Source organism: Homo sapiens, chromosome X (genome assembly GCF_000001405.40).
Source record: "Homo sapiens chromosome X, GRCh38.p14 Primary Assembly".
NCBI lineage: Eukaryota > Metazoa > Chordata > Mammalia > Primates > Hominidae > Homo > Homo sapiens.
Genome location: NC_000023.11, coordinates 31264599 through 31282633, shown reverse-complemented (window position 1 = coordinate 31282633; position 18035 = coordinate 31264599). Strand labels below are relative to the sequence as shown.

The following is an 18035-nucleotide window of genomic DNA, read 5'->3' as shown; positions in this document are numbered from 1 at the left end:
CTAACGTAAGTAGAGCTTCTCTGAAAACTGTTTTACCAAAACATACTGGATTTACTGCTGTTAAATAATGGATTTTTTTTTTTTTACTATTTATATTTGCTCCTCATTGAAACTTGTAAATGACTTTATTAGTCTTAGGCAACACATTTCATTTTGCATTGGATAAAGATGCTTCTTCAGTAAAGTGTTCATTTATAGCATTGAGAATCTTGAAATATAACCGGTGTCATCAAAGGGTAGGAAGGTAGAGGCACAGAGAAGTGATTAATCACTTTTCCCTCCAATGAATGATCTACTGTCAAGTTCAATAATCATATTTCATCTATAAAGAGCACTTTGAGCAAAGCCTGTTTTGCACACGTCATTACATTTGATTACAATTAAGTATAAATATATGCCTATTATTTAGCTCTAGTTAAAATCTGCAAAAATATAGAAGGCTTGTGGGTGATGTAAATTGGAGATTTGCATAGGTTTAGGGTACAATATTAGAAAACACTGTAGTTTTATTTTTGCTTTATGACTAAAAGGCACTAGCTATGTTATCTCGTTTGTTCACCAAACTAAAAAACAACAGCTAAAAAGCAATGTAACAAATTTCCTCTAACCTTCTTAACCCATCCACTGCTGTCGCATGACTCTCACAAATCAGAAATAAAGAACCATTTCTCTACTGAAGGTCATCAACTCATTTGAGGGCCATAGATCAGTAAAAAATAACTTAGTCTGAGACATTCAAATCACTTGCTTTTTAGGTAAATATTTTGGCTTTTAAAATGACACAAATCTGACCAAAATGTTACTCAGCTTTATGGGAACGGGATTCTTTTCTAGATAATCTTAGGGACGATCTTAACTCATATTGTTTTTGTTCAGAGACTAGGTCTAATTTGTTAGAAGTGCTGCCATGGGATCTCATTCTACTCAACAGGAGTGCATTCTTCTTATCCAGTATCCACTAAAAGTCACTCCTCCTCCCATGAAAAGAGTTGCCAGTGGAAAACTCAGAGAAAACATGGGAAGGGATTGGTGATGTCATATAAGGAGATTAGAAAACATTTTTTTAACGTTTAAAAAGTAAAGAGATGAATTTTAAAATTTACAAACCAATAAGTTTGATGTTGATGAGCAACAAAATCCTGGAAAATGACATCGTACTGATTATTAATGATTACATAGGATAACATGCTGCTGGGAATCAGCGTGATACTCTCAAAATCTGCCATGTCACATGCACCTCATTTTCATTTTTTTTATGGCTGCTTGATGGTTAGATGAGAAGACTGTTAGAGACAGCATAACTTAGGATTTTACACCACATTTTTCAAGTTCTCTTTTGAGAATATTGGGTACAAGATAAAGAACAGTGGGGCTGGCTAATAGGCTGAATTTGAAGCTGATTAAATAATGACATCTAAAGAATGTCAATTAATAGATCTAGATCAACACAAAATAGAGTCTCTGTCGTTGGCCCTGCCTTTGCACATGGCTGTTTCTTCTTCAGTCATCTCTTAAGCTCAACTCAGCCCTCTGCCTGAAGACCTCATTTGGCCAGTTTTGCCCATTCATTACTACTGTGAACTCTCTTTTGTTATTTTTTTCCTGTTTTATTCTGAGAATGGATTGAGCTAGATATGTGGAAGTTATGGGAAAGCATATTTTAACTAAATATTAAAGAAACTTTTGTAATCGAGCTCTCCAAAAAATAAAATCCGCCACTTTGAAAAGCATTAAACTCCCTGTACAGTAGATTTTCAAGACTGAAATGACTGTCTCACCCCTAAAGGCAATTTCTGTATTGGATGAGAGGATATAATTCATTAACCTTTAAGGTCACTTGTGAATCTAATGTTTTGATATTTTCGGAATTAATCAGAAGGGAACTGACAGCATGACCTGAATCTGTCCTATATTTATGTAAACATCCTGTGTGATGCACCTCATTCTTTGTGCAGTTGTATGCATTTTTGAATGTTAAATTTGATTTTAGGGCAAACGCTTTTTTAAAAAAATTTTAAAATAAACTTTATTAAATAAAAATTTACACACAGTAAACTGCCTCCATTTAAAGTGGTTCAGCGATTTTTGGCAGATGTGTACTTGTGAAACCACCACTGCAGTCAAATGACAGAACGTTCTTACTCCCCCAAAAGCCTCCTTGTGCCCCTTTGCAGGTCATTTTTCCTTTCACCCCTGATTCTAGGCAACCACTGATCGTCTTTCTCTCACTGTGTATTACTTTGCATTTTCAAGAATTTTCTATAAATAGAATCATACAGTATTTTTGTATGTATCTGGTCTCTTATATTCAGCATAATGATTTTGTTTCCAGCTTGAGGATATTATGAATAAGACTGCTAAAAATTGTATACTTGTTTTTCTAAATACCCCTTATAAAATCTTACTTTTGAGAAGCATATTACTAAAATAACTTCCCAGGTTATATGTGTATTTGTTCTTTCTGTTCATTTCAGCATTATCTTATTAACAAGCAACTGGAGGACATGCACCAAGGATAAATTGACTAGGTGCTAACTGAATTTGTGAGAAAGGCCTAGTTTCTAACGTTCTTTCTTGGGAGCAGATGTGTAACAGCTACTTTTGCTGTATAACAGACCAACCCCAAAACTTACTGGCTTAACACTGAGGTCAGCAAACATTTTCTGTAAAGGACAACATAGTAAACACTATAGGCTTTGTGGAGCACTTTGCATCTTTGTTGCACATTCTTTTTCTTTTTACAACTCTAAAAATGTAGTCATACTTAGCTGAGAGGCTGTACAGAAGCAGGCCATAGACCAAATTTGAACAATAGTTCATAAACTCTATAACACAATGGCCAGCCATTTACTTAGCTCACTATTTGATGGGTGGATTGGGCCATTTATGTGGTGTGACCAGTTGTACTACTGTTTGCCAGGCATGCTTATGCATCTGTAGTCAGCTGGCAGCTGGATAAGCTATCGTGACCTGACTCATATGTCTGATGGTTGACAGGCTGTCATCTAGGAACAGATGCAACTAGGTTTGTGTGTATCTCATCATCCAACATGCTAGTTCAGGCTAGTTCACATGGAAACTTCTCAGGTTTCTGCTTGTGTCATGTTTGGTAGTGTCCATTAGCCGAAGCAAGTCATGTCATAGGGCCATCCCAGATGTAAGGAGTGGGGAAAGACTCCACCTGTTGGTGGGAAGAGATACAAAGGCACACTGCAAGAGCTGGACACCAAGGAGAGGGCTAGAACTTTTGGCCATGTTGCAAGATATCACAAAATATTCAAGAAAAGTTACAGGAAGGTTCCTCTGTGGACTAAATTCTCTTCTGAATTTAGATGTAGGTAAAATGGAGTGTGCTGTTAAAATTCATGCTTTGTGAGTAATCATTGCTAGGCTAAACTGTTTGTGGCTTCACAGCCAATGGTAGACATACAGCATCCATAATCTAGTGCTTTTAAAAATATAAGAAATACTGATTACAAACATAGTTAACCACTTATTAGTACTGGGAATTTAATGAAAGCTGCTGTGATTAAATACTGAAAAAAGAAAGATTGTGGGTTTCCTTCTGGTAACTTTCAAAGCTGGTCACTCTTTTGAAAGGAATTTTATTCTTAAAGCTGTTATTTTTACTCATAATATGCTTAATACCCCCATGGCTGCAGACTGTCTAAAATGTTCCTACAATTATATGAGAATACTTTTAAAAATCATGATAATTATCAGTCTTCATGGACACTTATTCAGATTAATTTCCCCAAGCACTTAATAGGATGAATTTATAAGCATTAAATAGAATGGGGACCATCCAGCCCTAAAATGTGACCATTCTGTCAGGCACACACTTGCCAATTTGTTGGCGTGGACCTGAGCACACTAGCAAGGACTTTGAATTAGGTCTCACTGCAAGATGGAAGCAGAAGGGCATTTCTCAGTTTATGTTTTGAAGTGTTTTGTTCAGACAGGCAACGTGCAGTTGTGTATAGTAGTGTGAGCTACCTGTTACTCCCCTTAACAATACTTTTAGCAGCAATGTTTTTCCTCCTGCAATGTGACAATATCACCATGCCATTTGGAAGAAAACAAAAAGGCTGAGTGATTCCTGGTATACTCCCAAACAGCCACCCAAACGAACAGCTGGCAGAGAAGACACCCCCTAAAACTTGGAGCAGATTCTCAGCCCCTGCAGCATCTCATGTGGTTAGAACTTCAGACTTGATGAACGCCTCCCCAACTTGCTCCCCCTCCTGAATCTTTTAATCCTCCTCCAGTCTCTTGTAATGTTCCAGCCCTTACCAGGGAATAAGACTGCAAACTGTCTTCCGTCAACTTCTTTCCAAATCCTAGTCTAGAGAAATTATAATGATGCATGATTGTCCAGTGGGCATGTATAGTTTGTCCATTTCTTTATGTAGTAAAGCCTGTAGCTTTCATCTTTTTTGCCAATCCACTATAAAAATTAATTTTATATGTCATCCTGGTACACACACACACGCACACACGCATCTATATCTGTAAATCTTTTTCTGTCTATTCATGCTTGTATGATTGAAAGAAAAGTTTCACAAAACATTACTTACCCATACCAAATAGTACACTTTCATATTTTTTTTTTTTTTTTAATTTCAACTTCTATTTTAGATACAGGAGGTACATGTACAGGTTTGTTACATGGGAACATTGCATGATGCTAAGGTGTGGGGCTCATGACCTGTTACCCAGATTGTGAGCATAGTACCCAATAGGTAGTTTTATAACCCATTTTCCCCACTCCAACCTCTACACTGTCATATTTTCTATTCTTTTCTGTTTCATTAAGAACAATACTGGTAATGATCCACTATATAGATTTCATGACGTACTAAGGGTTCATGACCTGCAGTTTGAAAAACACTGTAGTTAGTTTTATCTCCACCTCAGGCCAGGTCATCAGAAAGCTGCATTCTTAGACCACTTTGCCTTGGCCCCCATAAGATTGCCTCAACTCAGGTGTACCTCGGCATCATGTTCCTGGCTTATGTCGAGGGGCACTGAAAACTGCTGAAGGGATTTTTCTGAAAGTCGACACCATGCAGTGTCTCCCACCTTAGATCCCATGCAGATCTGTTTATTCAATCTAAGTCATTCCAGACTTGGATTTTCCTTTGTTTCACTTACACTCTTTCCTCCTTATCAATAATCCAAATAATAAAATCGATCATATTTCCTTTTATATTTTTTCTTTTGCTTTGACATCTACAAAGGCCACAACCAAATTATACCCACCTTTTAAAACACTTTTTTACTGAAATATATTAGGCATGTAGAAAATAAGGGAGATGCTGGTTAAAGGATATGAAACTTCGGTTAGGAGGAATAAGTTCAAGAGCTCTATTGTACACCATGGTGACTATAGGTAATGAAAATCTAGTATAGTCTTGAAAATTGCTAAGAGAGTAGATTTAAGTATTATCACCATAAGAAATGATAAGTATATGAGGTAATGCATATGTTACTTAGCTTGGTTTAGCCATTCCACAGTGTATACATATTTCAAAACATGTTATACATGATAAAGATATACAATTTTTATTTGTCAATTAAAAAAAAAGAAAAAATGGCTTAAACTTATACAGTTCAGTGAATTTTCACAATCTGAACACACTCATTTAACCAGCATCCAAATAAAGAAACAGAACATTACCAACCTTTAGAAGGCCCTTTGTGTGCCCTTCTGATAGTTACCTGTCCTCCAAGGGTAACCACAATCTTGATTTTGAACACCATTAAATATTCTGGCCTGTTCTTGTCCTTTATATAAATGAAATTGCACAGCATGTACTCTTTTGTGTCTGACTTCTTTAAACCTGGATTCATCCATGCTGTTGTATGAAGTGGTGGATTGTTCATTCTAATTGCTATGTAATATCCCATTGTGTCAATATCCTGCAGTATATTATATACTCTACTGTGGATGGGCATTTGGTAGAAAAAAATGATGTTATAAACATTCTAAGACATGCCATTTGATGAATATATGTATGCATTCCTTTGAGGACTATATCAAGGGGTAGAATTTCTGGGTTATAGGGTCTGTGTGTGTTCAGCTTCTGTACATTCTTCCAAACAGTTTTCCAATGTGGTTGTACCAGTTTGCACTCCTACTAACAGAGCATGAGAGTTGTAGTTGCTCCACATCCTTTCTAACCCTGTGTTGTTTGTCTTGCTCATTCTGGTGGGTATGCATAGCAAAATTTTCATAACCACATCATGCACTGTGATCTTCAAAGCTGTGTTCTGGCTGGGCATGGTGGCTCACACCTGTAATCCCTACACTTTGGGAGGCCAAGGTGGGCTGATCACTAGAGGTCAGGAGTTCGACACCAGCCCGGCCAACATGGTGAAACCCCGTCTCTACCAAAAATACAAAAAAATTAGCCGGGCGTGGTGGCAGGCACCTGTAATCCCAGCTACTTGGGAGGCTGAGGCACGAGAATTGCTTGAAGCTGGGAGGCAGAGTTTGCAGTGAGCCGAGATCGTGCCACTGCTCTCCGACCTGGGTGACAGAGTGAGACTCCGTCTCAAAACAAAAAACAAAAAACAAATCTGTGTTCTAAATTTTCCTCGCTTCTTAAAGTTTTATGCTATTTATATTTCCTTAGTGCTGGGTTTTATTAATTTTTAAGAGTTATACATTGTTATAAGTTGCCCTAAAGCCTTTACAGAACAATGCACAGTATAAATATGTACATAGTATATACACAAATATGAATCCATGAATGCACAGCTAATAGGGCCATTATCAAAAATCCTACACTTTTCCTTTTCCTCTAGCCCTCACATTCAATTGGCTCAAAAGTAGCATTGATTTTATTCTATAACCTGTCATGAATTCAGCCTCTCCACAAATTCCCAGTGCTCCTTTCTTAGTTCAGACTTTCATCCACTCTTAACTGGGCTGTTGTCATCATCTACTTGGCATACATTTCCATTCTGATCCCTACCCTCTTTTCCACCCTTGTTTCTTCCCACCTCAAATTTAATTCTATTTTAAAAAGAAAGATATTCAAAAGTACAGGTGGTGCCAATTTTTTCTTCTCTATCCATCATATGCAAAGAGGCTTCCAATTCTTTGTCGACCTGTTTCTAAGGGATGAGAGTAGGTCAAGCTGTGAGGACTTCAATTCCCACGTGAAGGTCTTGTTCATATTAACTCAATAATGTGCTTTGATGTCCTAATGGGGAAAGTAGTATTTTCTGCCAGTTAGCCTTCCCAAGATATCAAATCCAATATTGGCCAAATACATTTTTGAATTCCTAAAAAGCCTAAACTGATGTCGTAACACAGCTGTATATTAACATAAAAACTCTGTACCTTAGTAAATTATTAATATGAGCGATTAGCTCACAGAGTCAATGTAAGAAACTTGTTTCAACTCTTCATATTCTAGCAAAAAGAACACACACACACACACACACACACACACACACACACACACACAAAACCTGATTTAAGAACTAACTAGGTGATTAAAGCCTACTTAGTTTTTAATTGAAGTGCATATTCTCTAATCCCAAGAGGCCAAACTAATCACCTTTCCCTTTTTGCTGCTTTTTTTCTCTCTATTTCTGTAATTATTATAATCTGTCTGATACTGTGTTTAGCTATATATGGGTCTATCTTCTCTCATTAGATCATAAGCTCCTTAAGGAAAAGGCCATATTTCCTTGGGATCCCACTTAAAAAAAAACTGGATTACAATGTTGAAATTTTTATATATTTCCATGTCATTCTCCAAACACTCCCCAGTTTTTACCAACCATAAAGAAAAAATGAGAAGAGTTTAAATGATAAGCAAATACATATGTAAGTGTTCCATAAATACACTATGTTTGAAGTTATTTAAAGAACTTAATATAGGATAATATTTAATAGAGAAACTTAGTCTAGATAGAGCACATAAAAAACATTCTTGGAAATTTGTGGATAAATAAAAGTTCCTTGCATCTGTATTTTCCTTTCATCTTGAAAACATGCCTTGACAAAAGTAAGCCAGAGCTGGAGTACAAGATTCAGACATTGGTAGATCATTAATTGGTTAAACTGGATTTTATCTTATTTCCCCTTTTATGGATCCCTGTCTTTGTGTGGAATTCCTGCCACTTGCTGGCTGTTCAAGGCTTGCCACCAGGAGACTTTCTCCATCAAGCTAGGGGATATTTCTCCCTCACTGTCCCCCACCAAATCAATATTCACTTGCTCTCTGACTACTCCAGGTTTCTGCTGTCTGAGAATATGAACATGGATATACCTTTTAACATGCGTGAATACTATTCATATTTTAATCTCGGCCCCACTGAATGATAGCAAACGCTGTGAATTTTATGCCTATCTCAGGCTACAGCTAGTGCCTTATCTTGCACACACACAAAAAAAATCTTACTTTTCCTACTTGCTTCCTTCTTAAGTGTAAAAAGCAAAAAGAGGAAAGGTGCCTTTTGTAAACTGCTAAAGAGCAGTTTACAGAAGAGCAGTTTACTAAACTCAGACCTCTCATTTTCCCTCACACGACAATCTAAAACAGAATGTTAAAGTGAATTTATTTGGTTCTGTATACCTAACTATTCCTGAACATACTGAGTTCTCTTTTAAGAAATCATACCTGCCTGACAGGCTGCTTTGCATGAACACAGCATTCCCCAGCCTTCAAATTGCTGTCAGAGCCGTTGTGTCATTTTGACCCACAATATGGCAGTATTATCCACATTCTATAGATGAGTTAACAAAAGCTTCCAAGTGGTTAAGTGACTTGCCTGTAAAGGGTTAAGTGACCCACCTCTAAGGGGTAGAATTGGTCTGGACACTCTGCCCCTCTATCTTCATGCCTTTGCTATAATACACAGCTACGCTTGCTGAAGATTAAGGAAGCTGCTTTTGATAAAGCGTGATTCTTGTAGATATTCATCTCAGGAAAAAAAAAAAGAAAAACGCTGGTGTCTTCATCTGTAGCATTTGATTATTACATTTTCCTTATCTGTTTCAACTTAGGATGACTTCCTTGTTCGCTTAATTGACTGGTAATTCCTTTGTTTACTTTTTTCCAAATCTCAAGAAGCAAGTCTAGAGTATTAACAATGGTTACATTAGCATTTAAAATTTTTTTTTGAAATTTGAGTATTTCAGAAAGGGGTAATTTAGGCAGGCATGTATGTAGAACTTTGCATTTTAATTAAAAAGACTCAAAATGAAATGAACCTCTGACAGTAACAGATGACTACTTCTAAAAGCTGCATTACTACTTGATATATGCTCAGTATTTTCTTGTGGGTAAGTCCTACGACTTGTTTCAAGAAAAGTGACAGGACTAAAACAATTAAAAAAGACAAAGCTGCTGTTTTTTAATCATATGTTCATAAATAAAACTAGGTTGTGAATTGTTTCCAGAGAAGCAATTGACAAAGTATGAGTAAATCACTCTAAGAACTAAAGCTGCGTTGATTTTTTTTAATGTTCAACCAAACATCTATCCTTGTCCAATGATGAATTTTCTTTGACAAATAAATATTTACAAAGTATGAAATATAGACTCTGTGCCTTTCCTAAGGCCAAAGCATACTGTTTAAACTAAAATTTAATTTTTTTTCTCACCTCAAATACACCAAAATAAGAACATAACTAAAAATTAATTCTCTCTTGTAGTAGACTGTCCATTAATCTTTTGTTAGATAATATTAGCATTGTGAGTGTCAGGTAGAAAGAAAAACTGTAATTTCTAGATTGATCAGAAAATGTGAGTATTTATGGATTTGAAGAAAACAATAAAGTCTGATAAAATAGAATTTTCTGTAACCTCCCTTATGGAGTCAAGAAGGAGGAATCTTTCAACATCCTCCCATTTTGCAGTGAAAAGTCTTCATGCAGTAAATAGTTTGCTTGGGTAGATCAAAGGGTTAATTTACTTCTGATTTGAGAAGAGACGCAGACTTCCCTGATTTTTTTACAAAAATGTGTTGTGTGGGAGGAAGGTAGAGGCCTCAGAATGAATTCACTAATTGGGGTTTTCACCTGCTGTGAGTCTAATCGAATACAAAGCCTTATTTGTAGCTGAAGAGGAAGAGAGATTATGCAGAGTGTAAGAATTTCTGCCCAGTTTTGAAATTCCGCTTATTTGGCACAATCGGTGGGGAAAGGCAGACAAATAGTTACAAGTTTGAGCTGTTAAGGTAGACCAGGAATGCTGTAGTCAGATATACTTGAACCACATTAACCAGTGATCCATTTTTAGCAGGAGGTGGTGTGGGTCATATACATGGGTTATCGCTATAGCTGGCAGGCTAATAGGTACTCCAAATTCTTTCCCATGAAGCAACCGTCGGCCTGTGAGGTTAATGAAGTATGGCTTTATTTTAGTGAAGATGCTAAAATTCACATCTTTTTAGATGTTCGGCTTGATATAGGTGGCTCTGTGAAGCTTTGAGAAATCTTATTAAAAGAAAACTGTGTGAGAGTGAAGCAGAGCTCGACTTTATCTGGAACCTGTCTGGTGAAATCTCTGGTTTAGATGGCAGCTGGCTCACAGAGAACTTTCCTGAGTCTGGCTTACTCTGCCTCCCTAAAGAGACAGGGCCTGGAAAAATAGGCTTTTGTGTGGGTGTGAAGTGCTCTGTGTCTGAACTTAGAGGCCTCTTCATTTGCTGGTTAATGTGACCTGGCTGGATATTCTTACATCCAGAAGATGTTGGTTTCAGATTGATCTAGGGGGATTGTTATATATATATTTCAATTAGTATGCTATAATATTTGCCCTAACCAGCAATGATTCACCATACACCAACCCATTTGTTAGATGTCTGAGTCACTGTTCATGGTTAGTACTTGTACTATGCAAAGAGGAATATGGAATTCTTATGTCTTTATTGTATACCCAAATGCTGACATTTTACTATAGAATATGTATTCGAGTTAATTGAAGTGATACCTATACTCTAAATGAATTTTTATAAAGTGATGCAGGTTATACTAAAACTTAGGGCGCACTATAGATAGAGAGAAGCTGAACCCTAGGAGTTGGTGAAGTCTCTCGGGACCATCCCTCCAGGCAAGTACCCAGTTCAAACCATTCCTTGTCTTTGTCCTTTCCTATGCCACTCTGCATTTTTACACAGCTAGCATCAGGCCAACATTGAAACCACATGCAACCCAGAAAGGAAAAAGATGTGTTTGTGGAAGGTAGGAACAGCCTAGTTTCAGCTGTTGGCCCTTCACAGCCTCCACTAGATGGGCTCATTCGAACCCAAGACCCTTCCAACAGTACACTGCAAATCCATAGCTCCAATTCAGACATCTTCCCTCTGAGCTCAAGACTCAGATGTCCAACTGTCTCTTGGATACCTGCACTTTTACATCACCACCTCCAATTCATTATGTTCAAGACTGGATTCATCATCTCTTTCCTAACCCTCTTCTGCCCCCTCCTCCTGAAATTCCTAGCTCGGAGAATGCTACTCATCCAATCTTTGTTGTCACTCAAGGACAATGGTCCTTAACCTTCACTGCATATTAGAATCACTTGGAGAGTCTTAGAAATCCTAATGTCCAAGACCAATTAAATTAGAATCTCAGGGTGGTGAGACCCAAACATCTAAATTTATTAACAATCCCTGAGTGATTCCAAAGGGCGGCCAAGCTTGAGGACTATTGCTTTACTTCTTCCCTCTCTTCCATTCATACATCCAGTCAGTCAAGACTCCTGTAGTTGGAACCTTATTGTATCATTTCTCCACCTCCTCTGCCACTGCTGTAATTCAGATCCTCCTCATACTGCAATCTCCTTGTACCTGATGTCTGAATTTCAGACTCTTGTCTTCTGATCAAGCCCCCATACCATTGCCTGAGTGATTTTTCTAAAAGACAAACCGGACAGAGCCACACTCATGCTTTAATTCTTTCTTCCTTAAAAAGCTCCCTCATACCTTTCAGGATACAAGTCAAACTCCAGATTGTCACACTAAGCCCTTTCCAGTTTGCCCATTTCTCTAACCCTTATCTTGACATTCTCTCCAAAAGATCAAGCAGACCGTTGAAGCTCTTGTAAAGAACAAGCTGGTTGCATCCTTTTTACCCTCACATCTGCTGTTGTCACCATCATAATTGTTGATATGCCTTTACCCTCAAAAGGCCAGAAGCTCTTTGTGGGCCTACAGAGGAGGCTTCTCTGAATATTTATCCAATGACTGAGTCTCATCTGCTTTTTAGCCCCAGAGTGGGGGGATCTGACTTTCTCCTCTATCAGTAGTCCCCACTCAGCATCAAGTCTATTGCCCCAGAGGGTGGCTTTGGCTGGATGGGTCTCAGTTTGGTCAGGGTCCTGGGAGAAACAGATGGTACATTCAAACGGAACACTTGAAGAGAGTATAATGAAAAGGCTATTTACAAGGCTCTAGGCAGGCTAGGAGAAAAAAAAAAAAACAAGGAATGGTAAACTTTTGCCCAAAGGGATAAAGGGAGGAATGGTTTGCGTAACTGGTGGAATGCTATTGCTGTAGGAAAGGACTGGCCAACAAGACTTGTGGCTGCAGGTCAAGGAACTCAGCAGCTGCCAGGCCAGAGATCAGTAGGAGGGAACCTGAAGAATAAATACCCAAACATCACCTTCCTCCTGTCCTTTCCTCTCCTTCTGTAGGCCTTTCATCACTGCCTCCCAATTGGCTGAAAGCAAAAGGAAGCCAAACGGCAGGAAAGCCTGATTGATGTCCCCACAGAGGTCCAACCTCCTGGGCCACAGAGCAGAATGGAGAAGGACAAAGAATAGAGATGGATGGGAGAATGGGGAAGCATCCTGCACAGTCCCTTAGGTCAGAGATGCCCTTATTCTCTAAAGATACCCTCAAAGTTTAAGTGGTTCAAAGACCAGAGTTTTGGCTACGGGAAAATGTACTGGGTCGCCTTCTTTGACCTCATCCCATTTCATTTCTTCTTTATCTCTATTTCTAGCAAATTTACTCTTCTCTGCTCTGAGCCATCAGTGAGATTGTCTATGAGTATACTAGAAAAAACACAGACCTTTCTCACAGGAAAAGAAGCCATGTCTCTTCATGGCAGCATAGCAGAATAGCTAAGCGCATGAGTCTTCGAGCTGGATTCCCCAATTCCAATCCTTGCACCATTCTAGACAGTGGTACTGGGAACAAGTAGGTCATGGCTGATTCTGAAGTCAAAATTTTAGCTGAAGTTTGTTCTGGTAGCAGAGCTTCAGGCTCTTTTCATGTCCGTGGTTCATATCAAAACAGTAATAATAATAATAATAATATAATCAGAAGGAGGAGAAGAAGAAACATCTACTATAAACAAACAATATATTATCATACATGGCATCACTACATAATTTACATATGACACGAAGGTATATCAATTATGTTCTTTTCCAAATGCTTTCCTCTAATAAGCAAAATTCATAATCTGACTGCAATTGAACAACAAAACAGTCTCTGTGATGCCCGCGTCATTTCTTAATACTTTCAGTATTTAATTATAATATGACGTCAAGATTTGGGAACAAGTCTTCAAGTGCCTATAACTCCAGTCTAAAAAAGAACTTAAAGATGTATTTTTGAGGATTGCCATCTGTCAATTTTTTTAAAAAGTCTGAATAGTGATTTCTTATTCCATTCTTTTTTCTTGTCAACAGATTATTCTTAGTAGTTTTCTAATTGGACACTGAGAAAAGAGACTTAAGCATTTATAGAGAAGCGTGTCAGAACTCCTGAATTTTGAGCAGGTAATTTAAAAGTGTAAAACAAACAAACAAAAAACAGGAAAGGAAGAGAGTGACAAATGTCTTACTATCCAGGTGTTACAAATCCTTAGTTTATCGATTTGTAATATTTACAAATGTCCATGCTCTGAGGCTTCTGTCTTTTCGTTGAAATAAACATAAACAGTAGTTAAGTGATTTGCCACACTGACACAGAGATTGGTGTCTCTGATTTACTGCAAAGGGCACTACTTCCTCATTACAGGACACTAATCCCTCTTCCCCAAGGATCGGAGCAGACCTAGAATATACTATTAGACCAAGGGACAACTTCAGCCAAAGCAAATCTTAGTGTGCCCCCCTCAGACCGTAATAGCAGCTGCCTCCACAACTCACTAGCTTAAAATTGCTAAAGGGCAACACTAAGTAATCTCAGTGTATGAGCCAGAATGCCAGAAGAAGTGCCATATTTGCTTAAAAATAGCAATACCGATCATACTTACATGCACATATCTTTAGTGATAACATTTACCTTTATATTTGGTTTGTTAAAGGTAATAAAGAATCCTGGCATTCCCTTTTGCTTTTGTCCAGATACTTTATTTTTGCCTCTTTTGCCATGCTATAGCATTAGATAAAGCAAAACGGGTGTGCTTCCACCTAAAACATTCTAGGGGGAAAAATGTTGAGCAGAAAAGGATTATTTCAAAAGAAGCCGGATATGGTGGCATGCACCTGTCATCGCAGGCACTTGGAGGCTGAAGTGGGAGGATTGCTTGAGCCCAGGAGTTGGGAGACCAGCCTGGGCAACACAGTGAGACCCCCATCCCTTAAGAAATAAATTTTAAAAAGGGGACCACATTTAAACTGTAGACCGAAGTGGAATGAATCAATCGGAAAGGAGAGTGGAAAGCAAATGTTTGAAAGAAAATAAAAAGAAAAGCAAGCCAACAAAATAAATGGACAAAGAAGGGCAGTGAAAATATCACTAACAGTTTATCGTAAGATGCTCTTTGGATGCTAATCTAAGGTGTTATGTGAAGTTTGCAGAAAATTCTTGTGCTAATGAAGGCTTTCTTCTTCTTTTGAGTATTTCCAAGCTTGAAATAATTGTGTGTAGTTAACTTCTATCATCATACTGCAAACTCTAAAATTAGAATTATTTGAACTGTTCAGGCCCTGTAACTTTTCCAATAAAATATTCTATTAGAAACAAGTTCCTTCTAGATCTTCCTAAAAGAATACTAAAGGACCAAACCGTGCAACAGCACTGGTGGTATTGTCTTAATTTAGAGAGTCCATACCAGTGATTCTCAAACATTAGTATGCTCAGAGTTTCTGGTTCAATAGGTCTGGGCCGGGCCCAGGGAATTTTCATTTCTAAGAAGTTCGCAGGTGATACTGATAACTGCTGTTCCCAGGGTCTACATTTTGAGATCCGCTGCTATGTCACAAATCCAAATCCAAAGTCTTTTTAACAATCCCTTTTAGCCCAGGATGAGCCTAACGGCAATTTCACGTCCTTATCGCCGGCCACTTTAATCTTCAACTGAGGAGGAAGGGAGAGTGAGAATTATGTATATAATTTTTTTCTTTTATTTTTTAAAAAGAAAACTCCAAGCCCACACTCTTAATTATCTGGGATGAGGTCATTTGCACCTGGGTCATTTATTTAGACAACAAGTAGTCTTGCTAGAGGCTTTAAGGAGGTGTTAGCAGAGCGGTGTGTGGCTTCCAGGTTCCTGGGTCTACCTTAAATCCCCATCCTCTTTCTTTCTTTCTTTCTTTCTTTCTTTCTCTTTTCTTTTTCCTTTCCGTTTTGAAAGCCCCAACTGCCCAGTCTCTGGGTGTCCGGGTTCCCAGGTCCCTAGGTGGGGGCGGAGCCCGACACGGCCCCGCCCCGTCTGCCCGCAGCGCCCCCTCCCCGGCCCGCCCGCGCCGGCTCCTCCGCAGTGCTTTCAGCTGTGAGCTTGGGCGGCGGCGGCGGCGGCGCTCCACTTTCGGGGAGCCCGGCGGCTCTGGGAAGCTCACTCCTCCACTCGTACCCACACTCGACCGCGGAGCCCTTGCAGCCATGAGGGAACAGCTCAAAGGGTAAGTGGATCGCGGCCCCGGCCCCGTCTGATGGCCGCAATCCGTGCACTTGTGGCGCGAGCAGGGGGCAAGCTGAGGCGGTCAAAACTTGGACAGGCGCGGCGGCTGGACCCGGGGCGCCGGGCGGCTGGGCGTCTAGGAACCTCTCCCGCGGGTTCCCGCGGCGCGGCTGCAGGTGCGCCCCCGGGGTTTCTCCCCAGGCGCCGGGCTAGTGGGGGAACCTCTTCCCTCGGCTTTGGGACGGGCTCGGAGAGAAAAAGCTGATTTCTCCCCGTCCCCAGAGGGGATAACGCGTTCCTCACGCGGGGATTGGGGCCGGGGGAGCTTTTCACTCCTTTCCAGGCTGCCAGTGTGGACGTGAGCAAGGCTGGCTGTTCCTAAATCGTCGCTCTTACTCGTAGAAGGAAGGGGCGCACGCGGCGCTACCTTCCATTGCACTGCAAGTGCCAAAAGGTCAACTTTCTGCCTGATTTCTTCCGAGGATTCCAACTGACATTTCCCTCGCTGCATTTTCTACCGTGCTCATTCCATGCCCCAAGACCTGCAGAAATCAGGAAAGAAAGAACAAACAACTAAAGCCCAGAAGTCAAAGATTTCAGGGGGTGGGGATTTTTGTTTGTTTGGGCTTTTTTTTTTTTTTTTTTTTTTTTGCCCTTCGGGATTGGGTGTGGAGTCATTTCTAGGGTGTTCTCTCGCATTTCTCCAGGTGTCTGTGCTCATCTTCAAGCAAAGTTTGTCACTCCCAATCCCAGCACGGCAATAAAAAGGGCAGAACACTTTGCTTATATTAGTCAAATTTGAAGTTAAGTTTGAAGCTTTAAATTGAAGGGGTTTAGTTGCTCGAGGGAGGCATAATATTAATTATAAACTGTTTTTACATCATGAAAAAAATCCATCCGATTTAAGTGGTGAACTTTTAAGTGGCGTCTTTAAGTGAAATCTACATTTTTCCTTGGGCAATAAACTCTTCTTGGTCTTCTGCTTTATCCCTGTCATCTCTCCTTGTCACCCACCCCCCCCCCCCCCACACCCCCAATCAACCTTTCTTTTTTTGCCTAGCTTTTTTATTGCCTTTTACTCAAGCCCCTCTTTGGAGGATACATTTGCTGTTGGAGAAGCGAGTGGAGCAAATGAAGCAACACGGTTATATGAAAGGTCTCTGACCCTTGAACACCGTGGAATTGGTTTCAGTCATCATTGTTTGATCTCCGATTGGACACGACCCTGAAAAGAAATTGCTTTGACCAAAGTTGAGGGTGGGTAGGAGTTAAACCTTGAAAAGCAAATAAAACGGAGGACAACTAACAGCTGGAACAGCCACCGAGGCAATCATCTTTGCCCTGGCTTTAGCCAGACAGAATAAAATGGTAAATATCCCAGGGAACAAGAAATGGGGAACTAGAATGGATTTCTGATGCTTATATTGATGCCCACCCCTCCAAACCCCTGCCCCACGGTAGCAGAAACTTTAAAATATATTTTACCATCCACACCCTGCCAGTATTCCAGCAATGCAAGCCAAGTTCAACAATTCAGCACGCAAATGCCAAGGTTCCTCTAGAAAAAGAGTCTGATCCTCAGATTAAAGGGAAATCATTTGTGTGTGTGGATCAATGGGCTCCAGATTATATATGAAACCAAACTCTAATCCTCTGCAAATCGCAAGAGAACGCTCCCTTTTTATATTGCTGCATAGCGATTAGTTTTCTCCCTGGGAAGTAGTGGACAGATAGTTTTTTAAAAAGGCAACTGTTTGGAATATTTTCAGTACCAAATAACAATGGTGGCAGAAGAAATCTTATTTTAATTAGGCAACTGCCATTTTCCCAGCCACAGCAGTAGATATTTGTTACTTTTTATAAGTGTTTAATGTTTGTTTTTAAGAAACTAAAAAAGCAATTCCAATAAGTCTGATTATTCCAGCACTGACAGCAGGAACAGCTCTGAGGCAGTTATAATAACCTTGCACACTACTTGAAACTAAAGCAGGTGAGAGAAAATTTAAATTGTATGGTAGGAAATTAGGTCAGCCTTGTGCTCAGTAGAGTAATGCTTTAATTTCTTATTATTGACAAGTAGGTGTTGCTGGGGTCTTTTGTCATAGTCGATGACTTTATATTTTAATTTGCATCAGGGTCCTATCACCGCCTCAAATAAAAGGGAAAAAGATTATCATGGTTTGTAGAAAGAAGAAGGAGAGGGGAAATCTTC

The 18035-nt window shown here is 39.4% G+C and overlaps 1 protein-coding gene across 26 annotated transcripts in view, besides 5 other annotated features; it reads left to right on the top strand.

Moving 5' to 3' along the window:
* Positions 1-18035, top strand: part of DMD (dystrophin) — a 2220167-nt gene that overhangs the window by 2056755 nt on the left and 145377 nt on the right. For 5 of the 26 annotated variants that reach the window (NM_004018.3, NM_004017.3, NM_004016.3 and 2 more), the window contains exon 1: positions 15680-15824. In NM_004018.3, the coding sequence (NP_004009.1) occupies positions 15805-15824 (20 nt within the window). In that variant the 5' untranslated portion in view covers positions 15680-15804. 26 annotated transcript variants of the gene reach the window in all.
* Positions 3028-3322: an enhancer, noted in NCBI's record as "tiled region #5644; K562 Activating DNase matched - State 13:Ctcf". NCBI's record gives its function as "activates a minimal TATA promoter and a strong SV40 promoter by Sharpr-MPRA in K562 cells {active_cell/tissue: K562}" and the evidence as "EXISTENCE:reporter gene assay evidence [ECO:0000049][PMID:27701403]".
* Positions 15388-15437: an enhancer, noted in NCBI's record as "active region_29516". NCBI's record gives its function as "activates an Ori minimal core promoter by ATAC-STARR-seq in GM12878 lymphoblastoid cells {active_cell/tissue: GM12878}" and the evidence as "EXISTENCE:reporter gene assay evidence [ECO:0000049][PMID:35858748]".
* Positions 15458-15517: an enhancer, noted in NCBI's record as "active region_29515". NCBI's record gives its function as "activates an Ori minimal core promoter by ATAC-STARR-seq in GM12878 lymphoblastoid cells {active_cell/tissue: GM12878}" and the evidence as "EXISTENCE:reporter gene assay evidence [ECO:0000049][PMID:35858748]".
* Positions 15558-15687: a silencer, noted in NCBI's record as "silent region_20730". NCBI's record gives its function as "represses an Ori minimal core promoter by ATAC-STARR-seq in GM12878 lymphoblastoid cells {active_cell/tissue: GM12878}" and the evidence as "EXISTENCE:reporter gene assay evidence [ECO:0000049][PMID:35858748]".
* Positions 16028-16127: a silencer, noted in NCBI's record as "silent region_20729". NCBI's record gives its function as "represses an Ori minimal core promoter by ATAC-STARR-seq in GM12878 lymphoblastoid cells {active_cell/tissue: GM12878}" and the evidence as "EXISTENCE:reporter gene assay evidence [ECO:0000049][PMID:35858748]".